Source organism: Homo sapiens, chromosome 8, assembly GCF_000001405.40.
Source record: "Homo sapiens chromosome 8, GRCh38.p14 Primary Assembly".
In the NCBI taxonomy this organism is placed as follows: Eukaryota; Metazoa; Chordata; class Mammalia; order Primates; family Hominidae; genus Homo; species Homo sapiens.
In genome coordinates, this window is record NC_000008.11 from 41,882,418 (window position 1) to 41,902,664 (window position 20,247).

At 49.9% G+C, this 20,247-nt stretch overlaps 1 protein-coding gene across 1 annotated transcript in view, besides 1 other annotated feature; it reads right to left on the reverse strand.

Moving 5' to 3' along the window:
* The window catches only part of ANK1 (ankyrin 1), a 243,517-nt gene extending 229,193 nt beyond the window's left edge, over positions 1 to 14,324 (reverse strand). The window contains exon 1 of the mRNA NM_001142446.2: positions 13,938 to 14,324. Coding sequence (NP_001135918.1) covers positions 13,938 to 14,063 — 126 coding nt within the window. The 5' untranslated portion in view covers positions 14,064 to 14,324. The remainder of the gene's footprint in view (positions 1 to 13,937) is intronic.
* Positions 19,312 to 19,498: a silencer, noted in NCBI's record as "fragment chr8:41759247-41759433 (GRCh37/hg19 assembly coordinates)". NCBI's record gives its function as "represses an EF-1alpha promoter that drives an FKBP-Casp9 reporter gene in an ReSE screen in K562 erythroleukemia cells {active_cell/tissue: K562}" and the evidence as "EXISTENCE:reporter gene assay evidence [ECO:0000049][PMID:32094911]".

The following is a 20,247-nucleotide window of genomic DNA, read 5'->3' on the forward strand; positions in this document are numbered from 1 at the left end:
CCAGCCCCAGCTGAGCAGCCACTAGAGAAAAATGCAAAAGGTGTTCAGCACCTGGAGCTTCCATGACAACCAGTGAGGAATGCATCCCAGGGTGTTGGAGATGGGCACTGGGAGGGACTGAAATTGAAAAGGAACTCCAGCCAGGGTGAACCGGGAGACTGATCTCTCCTGAGAATCCCGAGTCCTTGGAAACTCAGAAACGGAAGAAACTGGAACTTACCAAAAATATCAAATTCACCACTACAAGCCAAGCCTCCAAAAAGCAGGCCTGTCTGACCCTGGTTTCATGCACCCCACAGAACATCGCCAGTGCTCTGGGCTGTGGGATTGCCTTAGTTGCTTTCCAGGAAAACAGGCAGCCAGGGCTGCTTAGCCCCCTCTCCCTCTGGAGTCAGGGCCTCCACGCTCCTACAAGCTCCACAGAGGAAGATGGCTGTGCCCGTGACCTTGAAAGCAACTTGGCGCTGTGTGACAGAGCCAGTCACCTTACATTGAAAACAGACACCATTCTGCCCCCTGCATTCCCTGTTCACCTGAGGCAGGTGCTCTCCGCCCTCCCCAAAGTCACTCTTTTGGCCAACAGAAAGGGCACCTCCTCCCTGGCCTCAGCCAGAGGTTTATAGAGTCACAGGGTTGCCTGATTACACAGGCTCAGCGAGAGACAGAGTCTTCAAAAACACATATCCAAAGGGCCAGCTCTGTTAACAAAGAGCACAGCCCACACTCCCACAGCGTGTGTGGCCCCGGGCACTTCATCAGCATAGATTCCTCCCCATATCAACCCACAACATGGTCAGCATGGGGGCAATGAGATGCCAGGTGGAATGGGGTACTAATGAGGTGGATGGCCTTTTGCATGTCCGTTCACACTCATATGCCTTGCAGTCTGGTGCCACCACTCATCCAGATTTCCCTTCAAGCTACCTTAGGCCCATGTAAGCCAGTTGGCATCTGGAACCATTCTGCCCTGTGGCCTTGTAAACCCACATAATCAGAGCATAACAGGTACCGAGAAGGATCTCATGTTTGTTTGTTTGTTTGTTTGTTTGTTTGTTTGTTTTGAGACAGAGTCTCATTCTGTTGCCCAGGCTAAAGTTCATGGCACAATCATAGTTCACTGCAGCCTCAACCTCCTGGGTTCAAGTGATCCTCCCACCTCAACCTCCTAAGTAGCTGGGAATACAGGCACGCACCACCACACCTGGCTAATTTTTAAATTTTTTGTAGAGATGGGGTCTTCCTGTGTGGCCCAGGCTGGTCTTGAACTCCTGGGCTGAAGGGATCTTCCCACCTCAGCCACCCAAAGAGCTGGGATTACAGGCATGAGCTACAGCACCTGGCTTCCCAGAAGGGTCTTAAGAGTCCTCTAAACTAAATACAGAGGCTCAGAAGCAGGAGAGCCTCTGTGTCCAAAGCTACACAGGACAGTCAAGAGGACTGGAACTAAGCACAGCTCTGTTGTCGAGGGCAGGTTCTCTTCATCCACAGCAGCACAGTTAATGTTCATAAATCAGAGGGAGTGGCACTGGAGGGGCAGAGGCTCCAACAACTCAGATTGTTCTCCGGCCCAGGGAACTGGGAGATGCCAGGGAATGCATTGGTTCCATTTCCTCACGGAGTTGCTCTAGGACTTCACTAAAGGTGCCACTACGGCTGAGCGCAGTGGCTCACACCTTAATCCCAGCACTTTGGGAGGCCGAGGCAGACAGATTTCTTGAGACCAGGAGTTTAAGACCAGCCTGGGTAATATGGTGAAACCCTGTCTCCACAAAAATAAAACATGAGCCGGGCATGGTGGCATGTGCCTGTAATCCCAGCTACTTGGGAGGATGAGGCAGGAGAATCACTTGAACCTGGGAGGCAGAGGTTTCAGTGAGCCAAGAACACGCCATTGCACTCCAGCCTGGGCAACAGAGTGAGAATCTGTCTCAAATAAATAAATGAATAAATAATAAAGGCACCACTGCATTAAAGGGTCTGGGAAACTGCCTCAGCTAACATACAGTGGCAGAGTGGGAAGGGATCTGGTCACCACTGCATCCAGCGTCCCTCAGGACAGGCACTTCTTCCATAGTATCTCAGACCCAGACTCAGGAAAGCTTCCTGGAGGAGGTGAAGCTTAAAGGATGAGTAGAGGCCGAGCACCGCGGCTCGCATCTGTAATCCCAGAGCTTTCAGAGTCCGAGGCAGGAGGATCACTTGAGCCCAGGAGTTGGAGACCAGCCTGGGCAACATAGTGAGACTCTGTCTCTACAAGAAATAAAAAAATACCCAGTTTGGTGGTGCGTGTCTGTAGTCCTAGCTACTCAGAGGCTGTGTTGGGAGGATCGTTTGAGCCCAGGAGTTCAAGGCTGCAATAAACTGTGATTATGCCACTGCACTCCAGCCTGGGAGACAGGGTGAGACCTTGTCTCAAAATAAATAAACAAACAAACAAGGGATGAGGGGGAATCAGACTGAGTTCCGGAGAGGGAGCACCCTGCGCAAGGTGTGGGTCAAGGGAGCCCAGCAAATCCTAGGAGCACGGGGAGGCTTGGGGAGGGGTGAGGCACAGTGGTCGGGGAAGGGTCTGACTTCATCCTCAAGGCAGGGGAAAGCAACGGAAGGGTTTTCGGAAGGGAAGTGACAACTATCACATTTGTGTTTGAAAAAAAAAAAGGGGCTCTCGCTGCAAGATAAAGACCGTATTGGAAGGGCAAGACTAGAGGAAGCAGGGATGCAATGGAGACTCCAGCAGCAGTGAGGATGGTGAGTTCACTGGAGTTAGCCTTAAAAGTTCTTCCTGAGAAATCTGGTGATGGTGCTCGGTACAGAATCATAAAGTTTTTCCGTCTGTGTCTTGTAAGTCCTGTGTGGGGCAGTATTGACATCTGGGTTAAAAGTGCTAACATTCAACCACACCAGCTGTAGTCCAGGTGTCCTTCAAATGCAGATCTGTTCAAGAATGAAGTGATACATGTGACTGGCAAGAAGACAATATTTTTTTGAAAAGACAAATGGTTTGACTATGGTTTGCTTTGCCTAAAGCAGATACCATAGTTAAGTGCAACAGCTCAAGAACTTGGTAAAACACCACGATTTCCAGACATTGCTCCATGTCGGCGGACAGGCCCTGGGTCCCTTGCATTGTGTGCTATCCCAAATCAGAGGAGACTACTGGCTGGATCCATCACACACCTGTCCCTTCCCAAGGCTTCACAGGCTAAACAAGCTGTGGAAGGGCCTTCCCTGCCCACTGGCACTGTGTAACCTCAGATCAGCAGGGAAACAGTCTCCTCTCCAGAGTGTGGTCAATGGTAGCAACCAAAGCAGCTCTTGCAAATGGCATTACAATGAACTGGCCAAATCTCTATGCCGCAGGAGAATCTAGTGTCTCCATAAATTCAGTGCAACTCTATGGATGTTTCAGACTTTGAAGTTTGCCTGACTTGGGCTGTTTCTGATTCTTCACTCTGAGTTTCAGATCAGGTTCACATTTCTCCAAATTCTTTACTAACTCATTTAAGAAACTGGCAGCAATACTAGCTGAGTACTACCAACCTTGGCATTTGACCTGATGGCCATCTCCAGAAAGGCTAACACTGCATTTAAATTAATAAATACAAGGTGAGAATTTAGCCAGGTGGGACAGGACGTTCATCTTTTAAGTCTCATTCGGGATTAAAGAGGAAAACTCCAAGGCCCACATTTTTTAAGTCTTCATCTATTTACCCATTCAGGGCTCAGGTGCAGACATGTGTTTCTCTCTGCCACCCACCCCTAGGTCCACAGCCTGCTAATGCTCATGTCTTGGATTTTATGGGCAGCCCCAAGGTGGATATGGGTGGGAGCTGAGGCATTGTCCTGCCATTTACCAAGTGCTTATATGCCAGGTACTTTCCATATATTAAGTCCTTCAATCCTCCCAACAGCCCTGCATGGCTGTGGGGTGGGTATTATTCTCTCCACCTTACAATTGACAAAATTGAGACTCAGGGAGCACTATTGAGCAACTTGCTCAAAGCCAGCCAGTAAACATCTGACTCCATCTCACTCCACAGGCCACAGCTCTTCATTACTGCTTCCTGACGCATGCTAAAGCTCTGCTGATGCTCTGGCCCCCTTGCCCAAGGGTACACTGGAATAGTATGGGACAGGGGAGCCCAACCTCATCTAGGACACTGGAGGCAATGTTTCAACTGCGTTCTGACGGAGGACTTGACATTGATGTTGGAGGCCAAGGATGTGGCACACAGGAAGATCTAAAAGCAAGTGAAGGCACACATTTCCAAGTATCAGTGTACAGCCCAGTGCAGGATGCAGGAAAGACAGCAATAAGACAGGAGAGGCAGCTAGGGAGTAGATTCAGGGGGTGGAAGGGAGGAAGCCTGGTTAACCAGCCTGGACTTCATTCTAAGGGCAATTAGGAAGCCACTGAAGGACTGAAAGAAGGGAGTGTCAGGATCTGATTTGCATTTTTGGAAGATCCCCCTGGCTGCAGAAGGGAGTATTAGGCCCAACACACATACATTTTCAAGTTGGTTTACAATGGAAGTCTTCATATGCCAAGACCCAACTGCCTGGGCTCTTGGGGGCCACGCTTCAGCTCCACTTTGAGCCAGTACATTCCGTTACCTACTTGGCTCTAGTCCACAGCACCTTGGAATCCCTTACTGAGGGTGTGGCATCAGCTATACATTCCAGATTTCATCTCCAGAAGACACACAGTCAGAGAAAGCCCTGCTACCCTCTTAGACAGGTGGGGCGTCCTCTGCTTTTTCTTTCTGTGTCTCGACAACTTGTTTATTTTTAACATTTTTTTCCTTTCTTCTTTTCTTTCCTTTCCTTTTTTTTTTTTTTTTTTTTTTTAGAGACAGAGTCTCATTCTGTCACCCAAGCTGGAGTGCTGTGGTACCATCATAGCTCACTGCAGTCTTGAACTCCCCTGGGCTCAAGTGAATCTCCTGCCACAGCCTCCTGAGTAGGTGGGACTACAGGCATGCCACCACACCTGGCTAATTTTCTTAAATTTTCTTAGTTTTTGTAGAGACAGGGTCTTGCTGTGTTGCCCAGGCTGGTCTTGAGCTCCTAGCCTCAAGCAATTCTCCTGCCTCGGCCTCCCAAAATGCTGGGATTACAGGCGTGAGCCACTGTGCCCAGCTTATTTTGAACAATTATTAAAAATACAGAAAAGGATAAAAAAGAAAATTCAATCACCCGGAAACACACATGACAAAGATGACCACTGCTCACATAGTGTGTATTTCTCTGATGACATGTTACTTGGCTACTCTGGCCCTGAGTCTTCCTGGTCTATTCCACGTATATTATATATACAAGTGTATATTGTGTCAATTTAAAGTGAACATAACACAACAACTGAAGCATATTCCTATTTTCAATTAAAAGAATATTCTTAAAAACATTTTAAGCATGTTTTTGGTGAATGTAAAATACGTCACCACATGGGTGATGGCACCAAAGTCCTGTCTTTAAGAGTGGATGGGTCCTGCTCCCTGAGCCCACCTCCAGCCAGTGGGGCTGGCTTCTGGGTGGGACCATCAGCATCCTTAGCTGTCCTAACACCCTGTCAGCTTGGTCATGTGTGTGTCGTACTTAAAGCCAATGCTTAGAAGCTTTGTGTTCCAGGGCCTAGCTGGAGGGCACAGACTTGAGCTGACTGCCAGCTCCTCCCACTGCAAGCCCCGCAGCTGCCCCTGCTATCGAAGATGTTTTCTATGAGCTCTCTCCCTCTATCAGGTGAGAGCCCCAGGAAGCCACCTATGCCACATGCCAAGAAGGACTCACCATCTTCCTCCTAACCCGTCCCCCTCCTCTTTCCCAAGCTCAGTGGAAGTCATCAACTAACTGCCCAAATGCCAAATCAAGAAGGGGCCCCTGTTGGCATCTGATCATAGGTACACACGTATACACACGCTTACATATGTACATTTGTATGCAAATGTGATACCGCACATTGGAAACTACTCAGACCACCCGACTTCTTAGGGGCAGGCGACAGAACCATGGGGATGCAAGAGCCAGGAGAGAGCTGCGGAGCAAGAGCCAGCCAGGCTCATCCATTCACACCACCCTCATCGTATCATCTCCGTGTCCGGCTCCTGGCAGGCGCTTCTGGGATAGGCCTGGGAAGCATCCACATAAAAAGCTAAAGGCCCAGATAACAGGAAAAACAGACAATCATGGCAGCAATGCCACCCCTCTGTATTGACTAGTGTCTGCACATTATGAAGTGATTATATAGAGAAGATGTTGACTTGATGATGTGGTGAACAGAGAATCTCCAAACTGAAGTTAAGGGGAAAGTTAACCTGTTAAGAGACAGACTAGCCAGAAACAAAGCAGAAACCCCAGGACTCCGTTTTCACCTGCTCTTTCATTTGCACTCTGTGTTAACCTCAGGGCCCGGCGACGGAGTCCTCAGCTCCAAGACATTCTGAGGGGCCTCGGACACCCACATTCCCACTGGAACCGGAGGCCACAGGCTTTGCCCTAAGCTCTCCATCCTCTGCCTGAGGTTACTTCCAACTCTGGCAGCTTTCCCACTAATTTATAAGTCCTTCACTTCAAAGAAGGAAAACTATCTTCAGTTTTTAAATTTTTTGTGGAGACTGGGTCTCACCATGTTGCCCAGGTTGGTCTTGAACTCCTAGCCTTAAGTGATCCTCCCATCTCGGCTCCCAAAGTGGTGGGATTACTGGCATGAGTCACTGTGCCCAGACAGGGAAGGAAAGATAGCTTCAGCTTTGACTCTTCTCTCAGTGCCTAGCATAGCTTTGAATATCCTAAGGGCACAACCAATACCTGGGGGAAGTAGCCTAGTGCTGTGGGCTGTTAATAAGCTTTGGAGTCAGGTGCATCTGGGTTGGAGCCCAGTTCTGGGGTTATCAACCTATTGGGCGACAGAGTGTGACAATGCATGTCATGCACGAGGAACACTGGAGACCCTCATAAGTGCAGGCACCTCCCTTGATAAAGAAAGAAGTTTTTTTGCAAATATCATTGTCAATGCTCGCCAATGGATGCAAAAGCAATTGGACATGTACTATTTCCTTGGTAAAAACACAGGGAAATCTTTGAGAAGAAGAGTCCAGTCACATTGGAAGCAAATGAGAAGGAAAGAATGGTGCTCTCTTTTTTTAATTGGCTGGCCATTACATCTTTGCTTTCACTTTGAGTGTCTCCAATGCAAGTTTTCCTTTCTTGGAGAATGTGCTGTGCTTTGTGCACCCAAGATCCAGAGAGTCTCCGCCAGAGGAATCCGGTCTCCCCACAACACCACACATTCCATTATCTGTGACAGTTCACACCCAGATTTACTACCTGTGGATCTAACAGCCATAGGAGTCTCAGCAAAGTTAGGAAGCCCTTTTATGTTCCCCTCTGATATACAGCACTGGTGCCACACAAGACTTCAATAAAGCTTGCAAGTATCTAAGCCCACCTGGAAGTTATTGACGAACCCATGCAGATTACTGCGCAGGTCTGCAATAAAAATCCTGTCCAAATAGAAAATTCATTTTTTTTCCTGAAAATGAAATGAAGATATGATTTAAAGTATCCTTTTCTCATTTCCCAGTACTGAAAGAATAACAAGCTGGCCTTCCCCGGCAAACCTCAAGACTTCACAATACCATTGGAAGGCCAGGAATGAACTTTGGTAAAGGATTTATTAGAAAGAATAACTTTATGAACAATCATTATTTTATTAGCTATACTCCATTAAATATATGGGAGTTTTAAAATTTACAAAGCACATTCTCATTTATTATCTCATTTGATCTTCATCCCTATTTTACAGATGAGAAAACTGAGGCTGGAGGAAATTCAGAGGCTTGTTCATGCACACGTAGCTGATACATGCAAGAGCTCAAACTGGAACCTGGGCAGCCGACTCCATGCCAGTGTTCTGTAGGAGGTGGAGTTTTGAGCTTCTCAAGAACCAGAAATGGAGATAGAGAGCCAGGCAAAGTTGATCTGCCTTTCTCAAAAAAACAAACACTGGCTGGGTGGGGGCACAATGGCTCAAGCCTGTAATCCCAGCACTTTGGGAGGCCGAGGCAGGCGGATCACTTGAGGTCAGGAGTTCGAGACCAGCCTGGCCAACATGGTGAAATGCCGTCTCTACTAAAAACACAAAAATTAGCCAGGCATGGTGACACGCGCCTGTAGTCCCAGCTACTCTGGAGGCTGAGGCAGGAGAATCACCTGAACCCAGGAGGCGGAGGTTGCAGTGAGCTGAGGTTGTAGCACTATACTCCAGCCTGGGTGACAGAGCGAGACTCCGTCTCAAAAAAAAAAAAAAAAAGAAAAAAGAAAAAAAGAAAAGAAGAAAAAAACAGTGACAATAGATTTTATTTCAGTCAGAAGAATTCAAGGTGGGGGAAACAATAGATTTACTTGGTACCAATTCTTTAGGGCCAACTCTCTCAAAATCAAAAAGAACAACTAAGAAAAAAAACCTGTACTAGTTAAATGTAGCTTTTCAACCAATTCAAGCCATAGATATCTAGTGAATGGTTATGTACAAAGGCTCAAGTGTTGGCTTCAAAGTGCTTACAATTTAGTAGAAGAGATAAAACAAGAACTTCTGCATGTGCATGTGTGTATGCGTGGAAGGTGCAGAGAGAGCAATGGGGTGGGGGTAAGGAGGGGACAGATATGAAAGGTTTCTTGCAGGCGACAGTGTTGGGCTTTGACATTGAAGGAGGAAGGAATCAATAACAGGATCACCTATTCAAAGGTGTTGCCAAAGCAGACACAGGGGCAAGCTAACACCGATGAAGAGCGCCTGTACATAGGACACACTCGCCACTACGTGCTCATTTTTATTGTGAAAATAGGGAAGAAACCTCAGATGAGTTTGTTTTTTTTTTTTAAGTGTTGCCACATTGAGAGGAGAGGAGCAGAACTGGTGAGCCAGCAGCCTTTGCTGGGGTGAGCAAAAGAAACGGGGAGACACTGGAGGCCAGCTCGTGTCCCCTGCCCAGGGAGGTGACTTGCTCCAGGCTCTGAATTTCAGCTGCTGCTGCACCTGCTCTGAGACAGTCCAGCACTAGATGGTTTGCACATCACTTGCTCCTCACAGTCACCCTTCACAGAGGTGGAGCAGCAGCCAAAATTCAGAGTGTAACATCTTCTCAGCCCTCAAGACCCTGCTCTCCTGGTCTAGCCTATGGCTGGGAAGTGAGGAGAGATCCTGGGAACAGCCCCCACCACTGCTACCTCTGCAGCAGGGAGGGAGGAGCTGAACTGAAAAAATGGACAGGAGGCAGGCTGGGAAAATTCCCACATCTTCAGCCCCTGCCGGCGCCTCCCAGAGCTCCAGAGAGGCAGGCCCACCTTCATTTATGGAGGCTCCCGAGGTACTACAATAAGAAGAAATGCCAAAGCAGGGATACCAAAGTTGTGATATGTTTTAAAGTCTTGCAACAAAGAAACAAATGCTCTAATAATTCACATGCAATACAACATAAGTATGCTAATCAAAAGCCAAATTGAGGCTTTACATATAAATATCCATTAATGCCACAACATACATTAGTGAAATGGTTTAGCAACAGGACCCAGATTAAAGATGTGTGATGAGCACTGTTCTCTTTCAATTTTGTCGGCAATCTCTTGGATTGAATTTACAAAACCTTTTGGAGATAACAGCAGAAGTTGAAATTTGAGGCCCTTTGCAAATGAAAGTCATGGGCCAACATGATTCTAATGCTTAACTTTCCTCCCTCCATCCCACTTTCCCCCCTCCATCCCACTTTCCCCACCTCCAGACCCACCAAGCCTCCTTGTCAACCCTCCAGTCTCACGCAGGTGCCCCCCCACCCCAAATCTCCCCTGTGATTCCAATCACTGGATCAACAAAAAACCCCTCTCCTGTCCAGGAGCAGGGCCTCCTCCTGCTGAGAGAGGAAGGCTGCAGGCTCTTCGGTTACTGCTGCATAGACTGGAAAGACTGACGGAGCTGCCTGCACAGCTAAGTGGCAGAGGCCACTCTCCAGGCCTGGGCTTTCTTTTCTTTCTTCCTGCACTCTTCCTCCATCCCTCCTTGTGAGTGCCTGGCTCCTTGGGACCCTGTGCAAACACTGTTGTTGTTACAAATGTCTAAAATCACTTGACATTTAGTGTAGCAGAGACCCTGCAAGGAACTAACTACATGCTCAGTGGTGGAATCCACTGCACCAAAAGATTAGATGGTTCCACTGCCTCCCTACAAATCTCTATTGCTTTGCAAATGATTAGAAGAGAAAACAAATCAGGCTTTTTCCAGATGCCCCCAAAAGACAGTCAGTCAAAGGGTGTATCATTCACCGGAACACATGCCTGCAACCAAGACAACATCTGGGCAAGCAGAGATTAATATTATATTAATTCACTCATTCAACCATTCACTCCACAAACATCCACTGCCTGCCGCTTGAGTCAGGTACTGAGCTAGGTGTCAGGTACACAGCTATGAATAGGACATGGTCTTTTCTTTCACCATCAGACGATGAAGTAGGTGAACATAACTAGGGACAAGGAGAGAGCTGAGTAAACACTACCCTGGGGTCTCACCGTGTTGCAGGTATCCGGCTTAGTGTGAACCTGTCACTCAGGGCCAAGGCGTCAGCGCTCCTCTCCCTATCCACTCTTCCTTCCTTGAATTCTGCCCTCTTCTATCCTCTGCTTCACTTTTCCTCCCATCTTCCTGTCCTCTTCTCCTCCTACCCTCAAGCTCTGGGTAAACATAAAAAGCACACACATTCTTATGCCTCAGGCTCCCCCAGCCCTCAAAAGCTGTCATCCTTCATGCAAATGCCTGCTTTACACATGCTTTGCAATGTATTTCCATTCCAACCTTCAAAAGCAGGGGGACTTATCAGTAAATATCATAAACGCTGGATTTTTTTAAGCTGCAGCTACAACAGCAAGTGGCTGACAAGGTTGGCTCTGCACATGCACAGCACTGAATGAAGCCCCATGAGAAGCAGGCATTGTTAGAGCTCCAGAGTGTAGCTCAGTTCCCTGCGTCGAGGTGGCTTCTATCTGTGTCAGTCAGTGCGTCACAACACCAGCCTCCTCCACCCCCCGCACACAGCACCCCTTAGCAAGCACCTTCCCACACAATATCATCAACTGTAAAAACTGCAACCATCGCCAAAGTTACAACCATGGTTATTTCTACAAACGGGAGGGATGCGGTTCTGCTCAGTCAGTCCCTGGTAAGTAGGTTACCCGCGGGACAAACACCTTTCCTTTGAGTTAATTCAGAATGCCCTTGGCTCAGCTATCCATCCACACAAGAGGCCAATGTCCTGGAGTAACATGTTTGTCTGCATGTATGGAATTCCTTCTGCATGCTGGTATAAGAAACGGAAACTGGGTCCACACACTCTGTAGTCTGTGTGAGCAGCTGTAAAGTCCTCAGCTGCCTGATTTTAATACATTTCACCTTGAAAAATTATCTCCTTCATGAAAAATGGCTTAGTTAGACTTCACCTTATATGAACCTTTGAGTTAGCCCTAGGCCCTCTGCCTCACCAGGCCCCTTGTAAGCTTTCTTCAAATGCTCCTTTCTGCACTGCCTCCCTCACCTTTCCCTCTAGAGCTTTCCACCTGCTTGTGATTTTCAATTTTGCTATAAATTTTAACTCTATTCTCTGAGATGACCCTCAAGACCATCCCAATGGCTGAGAAAACTCACAGCCCTTACAAAATACGAACAAAGCATCCCTACATCCCACCCCATACCATCTCCCCTGCACCCAAAGAATCAGTCCTAAGAGTATGCGTCACTGCTATCACTTTAAATGAAAATTTTCTTATCATTATATTAATCATAGCACCCAGGATACTGCATAAAATAATGAAAATCTGAATGGAAGATTTTTGAATGCTACTGACGCAGTATGCTGCGACCGGCTAGTAAAACAAGATAACACCATTTGGGGGGAGGAATATATTAAATATTATCATCTACCACCAAAAGAAAAAAAAAGAAATGAGGTTTACTACAAATGTAAAGATTAAGAGCAAAGAAGCAAAAAGAATATTGAAATCACCGCTTTCACATGTGTGTATTATACATATTTGGAATTCAGAGTTATATTAAAGGGAATTTTCACAGAATGGAAAAGAATCACAGGAGAGGGGGTGGGAGAGGGTTTTTTGACTATTTTCAAAAAATGATATATGGTGTCGGGAGTGTCAAGGAGGAAGGCTGCGAGAGAGAGGTGGATGAGAACACTGAGTGAGCAGCTCGGAGAGGAGCGCCTTGGCTTCCAAAGCAGGAGGCAGGAATGGAAACACAGAGCACTCCTTCCCGAGAAGAAGTTCACATTCACGCCAAGAAAGTGGGTGAGCATCGCAGCGTAGAGCCAGACTTCCCCTGCCTGACTCACAAGACGGGCTCTGGTATTTTAGACCCCAGCAGAGGGACCTGCGGAGATTCTCTCTCGGTGGCACCAACCCAAACTCTGATTCATCATCGGTTTGAAAAAGGCCCCTTTTCGGTCCTCTAAAGGGGTGGTGCCTTTGTGAAACTACTATTTACACACAAGATGGCAATCCCTCAAGGGAGGTGGGGACGTCAGTTTCTGAAGGGTACAGGAAAGCCTAGAGAGTGTTGGTTACTTCCTTTGAAATCAGAGAGCATCTCTAGGAAGAGGATGGATGTTGGTCTGCTGACCAACTGTCAAGGGGTGTGTGACCCACAGACAGCCTGCTCCCCAACACTCTGCTGTCAGCTGCAGGCTCCAAACTTCTTTCTCGGAATGAGACAGTTTCAGGGAAAGAAAACGTGTTTCCTTCTCAACCAAGGCCAGAGCCTCTCCCTGGAAGCCTGAGGGGCCCCACTCCTTGCTGGGGAGCCGTGCAGGCTGGGCCCCACATCGACTTCTTCGGGTGAAAATAGCTCTCCTGAATCCAGAGTTCAGCATCTCCGATTCCCAGAATTACACCCACGTACTCTTGGCCTCCTCCGTGGCTCTAAGGTGCCCTGACTTCTGTCACCGTCCTTTCACCATCAAAGGTGTTTCTGACCTAAGGTGCTTCTCAAGGTGCTTTGATCAGGGGTAAGAGGACCCCAGACCCCAAAAGGGCTAAAAACAGCAACAGTTGCCCCTGGAGGTCTGGGTCTTTGCGGGCCTATTTTGTCTCGGCACCCCGACACAGAAATACCCGGGATGTCTGCCCATGGGCAGAGCTGGTCTCTGACCAGGCCTTTGGGCCAGGCTGGAGCACCCGTGCCTGGCTTCCAAAGGAACTTCCCCTCCCTGGCATGGATGGCTCATCTTGAGTGACCTGAGCATAAGATGTTGCAAATACCCCGGGTAGAGGAGAAGGCGCCTTCTTTTCTGCTACCAGATCCGGAGGGTCAGGAAAGGTGCTCCCTGAGAAGGGTCAAGGAAGGGCAGGAGCCCGACTCTCGTTCAGAGACACCTGGGAAAGACGCTCTCTTCGTCAGAGTGGGTCACCTAGGGAGAAGCCGGGCAGAGCTGCCCCCCCCCGGCCCGCTCCCCGGAGCCTGCAGCCGCGTTTACCCAAACCAGCTCTCCTGGAAAGCCAGCGGGTGCGGCGCGCCCGAGCAGGGCAGCCCACCACCCGCAGCCGGCAGCCAAGGCCGGGAAAGTTGGTCCTAGAGCAGCGCGGGCCTGCCGGGTGCTGTCCAAGGTGCTGAAAGGTCTCTGCGGGCAGCTGGCGGGAGGATTCTGCGCGCCCTCAGCCTCCCGGCCACCCGCTCTGCCCTTCCAGCCTGCCGCCCTGTCCCCTTCCCGGCCGCGCAGAAGCCTCCGTCCCTCCTCTACGCCCACCGAGCCTTCCCCGCTCGGGTGCCGCCAACTCCGCCGCACCGGGCGCCGCGCCCCACCGCGTCCCGGGCCGCCCGACCCCTGCCCCCAGCAGCCACTTGCAGGTGCCGCGGTCGCTGGGCTTTCACCGCCGCCCCCTCCTACCTTCTTCTTTCGGTCACGGGAGCGGTTTCTCCGCTTCCTGTTGGATTCCTCCTTCTCCTTCTGCTCCTGGAGGGCCTGCGCCTCGATGTCTTTGATTTTCTTCAGCTGTTTGGCCGCTTGAGCCATGGCGGGTCACGGCGCTCCCGTCCCCGCCTCCTGGACCCCTAGCGCTCAGCGATCCCCGAGGCGACACCCCCTAAGAAGGGGAAGGGGGTCTCTGCTCCACAGAGGGGACAGCGTTCGTGGCGCCCCGAGGGCCGGCTGCTGCGGGGTCGCGGGAAGGCGAAGGCAGTTCCGGACGCGGAGGGCGAGGGGCGGCTGCCCGCGGCCCGGGATGGCGCTGCCGCCGCGGCCGGAGCTCGCTTGCCGGCGCCCGGGACGGGCTCTGGGCAGGGCCCGCCGCCTCCCTCCCTCCGCCTCCCTCCCTCTCCTGCGGCGGCGGCGGCGGCGAAGCGGGGGGGCGGGGGCGGGGAGGCGGCTCGTACTGCGGCGGCGGCGGGCGGTGAGCGGCCGCGGAAGGGGCGGATTCGGGCGCTCAGCGCGGGAAGGCCCGGGGGCCCGGCCGGCGCGGCGAGGCTGGGCGCACTGGGCGTCCGCACGGGGTCATGGCGAGCGCCGAGCTTCCGCCTTTGCAGAGCCCCGCGCCGTCGGGCGGCGGGAACAAAGCGGCCGCTCTACCCCGGACCCCGCTGCGGGCCGCAGGGCCAAGCCGGGGGAAGAGGGGAGGCTGCGGCGGGCGGCGCGCCCCGCGCCCGGGCGACCCGGCGGACCAGCGCGCCTGGCGGCGGCGAGCGCGGCGACATCGCGGGAGCGGAGGCTCGGCCTAGAGGGCGGGCGGCAGAGGGCAAGGACCGGGCTTGGGGAGCCCCCGGGCGGTGGCCGCTGAGGGCCCGGACGCGCTACTCCCGAGCCCGGGGTGCGGTTCCTCCCCGGGCGCCCTCGGCGTGGGGCGCGCGCCTCCGGGGCTCCCTGGGGAAGAGCCGGTTCCCCGCGCCGCACGCTGGGAGCTTGATTTGCCCCTTTCAGACCATGTGGGCCTTTCATTTGCATATTTCCGAATTATAGATGAAAACGTATCCAGGATCAAGTGAATTGTTTTCCTTTGAGTCCTCTTGGGACAGAAAAGGAAGTAGGTCCCCGCTCCAGCCCCGCCCGTCCCCCATCCCCGGCGCTCCCGCGCACGCCTCCCTGGGGACGCCGCCTGCGCCCGTGCCCCGCGGGGAAGAGCTGCACTTGGGTCCGCAGCGCCAGCCCAGCCTGCGGCAGGCGGAGGGGGCCTAGGGCTCAGCCAACCACCCCGTCACGCCGCACAGGAGCCAGCCGGGGTCCCCGGCTCGGGAGCTGCCGCCCACCCACTCCCTCTCCATCCCGTGGGACGAGCACTTCTTCCACAAACGGCTAAGGAGGGAGTTGTGAAAAACAATATTTGAGACTTGGAGAAGAGTTATTATGAAATAGTCTGCCTCCTTCTGCCTCCCCTAAGCTGAGGGCTTGCTGTAGACATTTACCCAGCCAGGCTAGAGCCGAGAAAGGAGGCGTCTACCAAGCTGCAGAGAACGACGTCCTGGGCCTGCGAGCTGGGCCCCACGCAGTGCAAACTTGGGAGCAACTGGGCCTTGCCTCTAACCCCCTGCAGCCTGCAAGCGCTGCCTCACAGGACCTCCCCCCGCCGCCCCCCCCAACCCTGTCTTTGCCCTTCCATCCCCCTCTCCACCTGCACTCCTCTGGCAAAAGCCTTGTTTTGAAGACGATTTCCCAGGGCTGGGTCCTTGACTGAGGTCTCACTCTAGACGCAGTGCGAGCCACAAATTCCAATTCCATATGGAATTTAAATTTGCAAGTAGCCATATCTTTAGAAAAAAAAACTGGTAAAATTAATTTTAATAATATATTTTAATTCAATATATTCAAAATATTTCAACATGCAATGGATTTATTATGAATAGGACATTTTACATTCTTTTACTAAGTTCAACATTCAGTGTGTATTTCACACTTACATCACATCTAAATTCAGACCCTGCACATTTTAATTGCTTAATAGTTACATTTGACTAGTGGTAACTCTATTACACAGCACAGCTCTAGACTGTCTCCCTAGGCCAACTCACCCCCTGGCCGGGGCTGTAATCAACCTACCGACAACACACATAATTAATCTCCAGCACAGCACTATTCCTTGAGCACAGGCCCCAGGGCCACTGTTCCCCTGGGCCTCCTCACAGTCATGCCTCCATTCCCTCTGGCCATCCGCCTGTCCACCCTCCACTGCAGGATGGACTGCACATCACAGATGTGGCTATTGTCACTTCTCCACTTAGCATCCTTCCTTTTTGCTCCTGAAGATCAGAATCTGTTACACCGCCTATGAGGACCTGAATGATCAGGCCCTTCCTACCCACTGACTCATCTCACTCAGGTCTGTGCTGGTCCCTGTGCTCCAGCCTCAGCAGGCTTTGAGCAGGTCCATGTTGTCCCTCTACCAGGCTGCTGTGTCCTTGATGGCCCCTGCACAGACTGCCCTGTGTCCACTCCACCCCCATCCCCAGTCTAGCTAACTCCAACTCACTTATCAGATTTCACTGCGGTCTTCACTTCCCCCGGGGCCCCAGACTGGCTCTGTCCTCTTGCAGTAACATCATATGTGCCTCCTTCGTGACACATGTAATTTTACATTAGTGTGATTGATTGGATTCATGCATAGCTCTCCCACTAGACTTGAAGCTCCGTAAGGGAAGGGGTAGTGTCTGGTTTTGCTCACTATTGTATCTGCAGCACTTGCATAGTGCCTGACAGATAGTAGGGGCTCGATAAACATGTGTTGAGGAAATCCACAGGTCTACTGTGTCCTGGTTTAAGGAATAATCATAAAAAATAGCAGCATTTCCATTGCACCAAGCATTATCACCATTTTACAGATAGGAAAGATGAGGCACAGAAAGGCTGAGTAACTTATTCAAGGTCACACAGCTAGTAAATAGTGGAGCTGCCTGTAATCCCAGTGCTTTGGGAGGCTGAGGCTGGAGGATCACTTGAGCCCAGGAGTTCAAGACCAGCTTAGGCAACAAAGTGAGACCCTATCTCTACAAAAAATAAAATTAAAACAATTAGCCAGGGATGGTGGCTTATGAGTATTGTCCCAGCTACTCAGGAAGCTGAGGTGGGAGGATCACTTAAGCCCAGGAGTTTGAGGCTGCAGTGAGCTATGTTTGCACCACTGCACTCCATCCTGGGTGACAGAGCGAGACCCTGTCTCTAAAAATAAAATAAAATAAAATAAAATAAAATAAAATAAAATAAAATAAAATAAAATAAAATAAAAAATAGCAGAACCAGAACTTGAATCCTGAGGGGCTAGCTGTGGAGTCTTAACCATTGCACCATACTAAATCACTCTATTTCCTTATCTATAAACAAGAATCTGATATTACCTCCTTCGAAGGATTGTCAGGAGGACCAGGAGAGAAAGAACGTGAAATGTTTCAGGAAAACATCAAGTGCTGTACAGAGTGTCAGTTTCTTCATGGACTAGTTGGTGTCTAAGTCCTCTTCAGCCCCAGGACCCTGATTCCTCCTGTAGATCTAAATCTTTATAGAAGCCTTTTGAAGGTTAGAAAAAAAAATTATCTCTCTGACTCAAAGGGAATATATTATCCTTAAGGAACAGCAGACAGCACTTGGTAGATAGGAAAGTCCTGCCTGAGTCCCCCTCAAATCAACACTTAGGGTGGTGGCTGTGGCCCTGAATATTCAACAATCTCAGTTAGGGTACAATGAGAGTCCTGTTCATGTCCCTGGTCTACTTGTGAGGTAGCTCCCCTGTTATCCTATTATATATTAGGAAGATTTCAGGCTGAGAAAGAGAAAGTGGGAATGTAGTGTTGAAGCTGTGGTCTGAAGCCTTTAACAGGCTGATCTGGACACCGTGAGAGTGATAAGGAAATGGTGGGTGCTCTAGCTGAGTTCCTACTGAAATGAGGGACCAGGGAACACTAGCATCTCAGCAGCCAGAGGAGCTTCCTCACTCCTGTTCAGAGGAAAGATGATGCAACCCTTCTCCACACTCCCCATTGCAACAGACCATCATCATTATCATCACTAGCATCATCGCCATCATCATCATCCTCATCATCATCATCATCCTCATCATCATCACCATCACCAGCATCATCACCATCATCATCATCATTCCCATCATCATCATCATCACCATCACCAGCATCACCATCACCAGCATCACCATCATCACCATCATCACCATCACTAGCATCATCATCATCCCCATCATCATCATCCCCATCATCATCACCAGCATCACCATCACCAGCATCATTATCATCATCATCATCACCATCAGCAGCAGCAGCATCACAATCACCACTCACTGACCAGATTCTTTGCTGTGCTCCAAGCACTGCTGATCATATAACCAAACATTGATTTCTCATAACAAAAGCATTGATGGCCCTGTTTTCCATATGAGGAAGCCAAGGCTGTGCTATAGTTTGGATGTTTGTCTTCTCCGAACCTCTGTTGAAATTTGATCCCCAAAGCTGGAAGTGAGGCCTAATGAGAGGTCTTTGGGCCGCGGAGGTGGCTCCCTTATGAAGGGACAATTAATGCCCTCCCTTGCGGGTGAGTGAGTTTTCACTCCTAGTTCCCACTAGAAATGGTTGTTAGGAAGAGCCAGGCCCCTCCCCTCTCTCTTGCTTCCTCTCTCGCTGTATGATCTCTTCACACGCCAGCTCTTCTTCCCCTCCCACCATGACTGGAAGCAGCCTGAGGCCTTCCCCAGATGCAGATGTTGGCATCACACTTTCTGTAGAACTGTGAGCCAAATAAACATTTTTTCTTTATAAATGACCCAGCCTCAGGTATTCCTTTATAGCAACATGAACAGACCAAGACAGGCCGTCTGTGTTTAAGTGACTTCCCCCAGGTCACATTCTGATGGAGCGGAGTCAGAATTCAGGCCCAAGCTGCCTAATGCAAGGCCTGACCTAAAAGGAACCATCAGGTGACCGATTTTGACAGTGACTCAGCCAGTTCTCCTGAGTGTAGAAGTATTAGTAACCTGAGTTAGACACATAAAATAATATCCCCAGGCAGGCAACCAAAGGGCCAACCTATTCCTCCAAAGTGATAGAAACAGAACCCACAGTGACCCACACACAGCATCAAGAGACAAGACAAAAGACTGCCCCACTGTGGTCCCCAGAGAGCCACCTCCTCTACTGCAGCCACACCCCTCACTGAGGTGTCCCTGCTGGGTTCCCACCATTCATTCTCAGGCTCTTCTCGTCATTTCTTGGGAGCCACATAATCCGGCACACACCCACAAAGGGGGTCACTACCCCATGGGTGAGGACAGTTGGTCACTCAGCATGCAGGGAAGTGGTGTGGGGAGTGAGTCCGAACTCTAGCACAGGAGACAGCCCCAGTTCTTCATTTTTTTATATAGGGATGCTTATTACTCAAGGAAATTCTGTATTTCAGTGGGGCCTTTTTATTTAGCTGCTAAGTGAAGGGGAATGGAGTCCATTTTTATATCTTTGCTGCTTTCTTCCCTAAGATTTCCATCTGGTTCCCAGTCCCATCCTGAGTGTATGCATTTATGCAACTAGACCAACTTGTGTTTTTAAAAGAAACATTATTAATAATTAATAAAGCTTCCCAAGATAAAAGCTGCCTCTTGAACTAAATAATATAAATAGCTAAAACATAATGAGAGCACTGGGCATTCTTCTAAGCGTATTTAACCCTAAGAACAACTCCATGAGGCAGATGCCATTGTCATCACCATTTTACAGTTAAGAAACTGAGGCACAGAGAGAATGAATAACTTGATCAAGATCAATGGCTACTAAGCCATGGACCTCAGATTTGAAACAAAACAGTCAATCTTTAGAGACTGTACTTTTACTGCTACTTAGGACAAACATCCTAAATTGAGCGTGGGCCTGGAAGGTTCTGTCCATGTACCATTAATCCCTTTTAGGAAAGAAGGAGCCAACCAGTGTCTACCAGTCCTGACTCCTCTGAGGGCAGATGGCTGTGGGGTCTCAGCCATCCAGTCCAGTGCCATACCCTATAGGTGTTCAGGTCAAGTTTGATTCAGAAGAGGTTATCCAGGAGCCACGAATATAGAGGATAAAACAGAAAGACAAATGGAAAATTAGAATTGCAGAGTGAGAAGGAACTGCCTGGCATTTCCCAACCAATGGGAGGCTTCTTCTGCTCACTCTCACATTCCCAGACCAGATCACTCCGCAGGAGAGCTGCTGTCCGTTTCCCACTGGGTTCAAGCCGT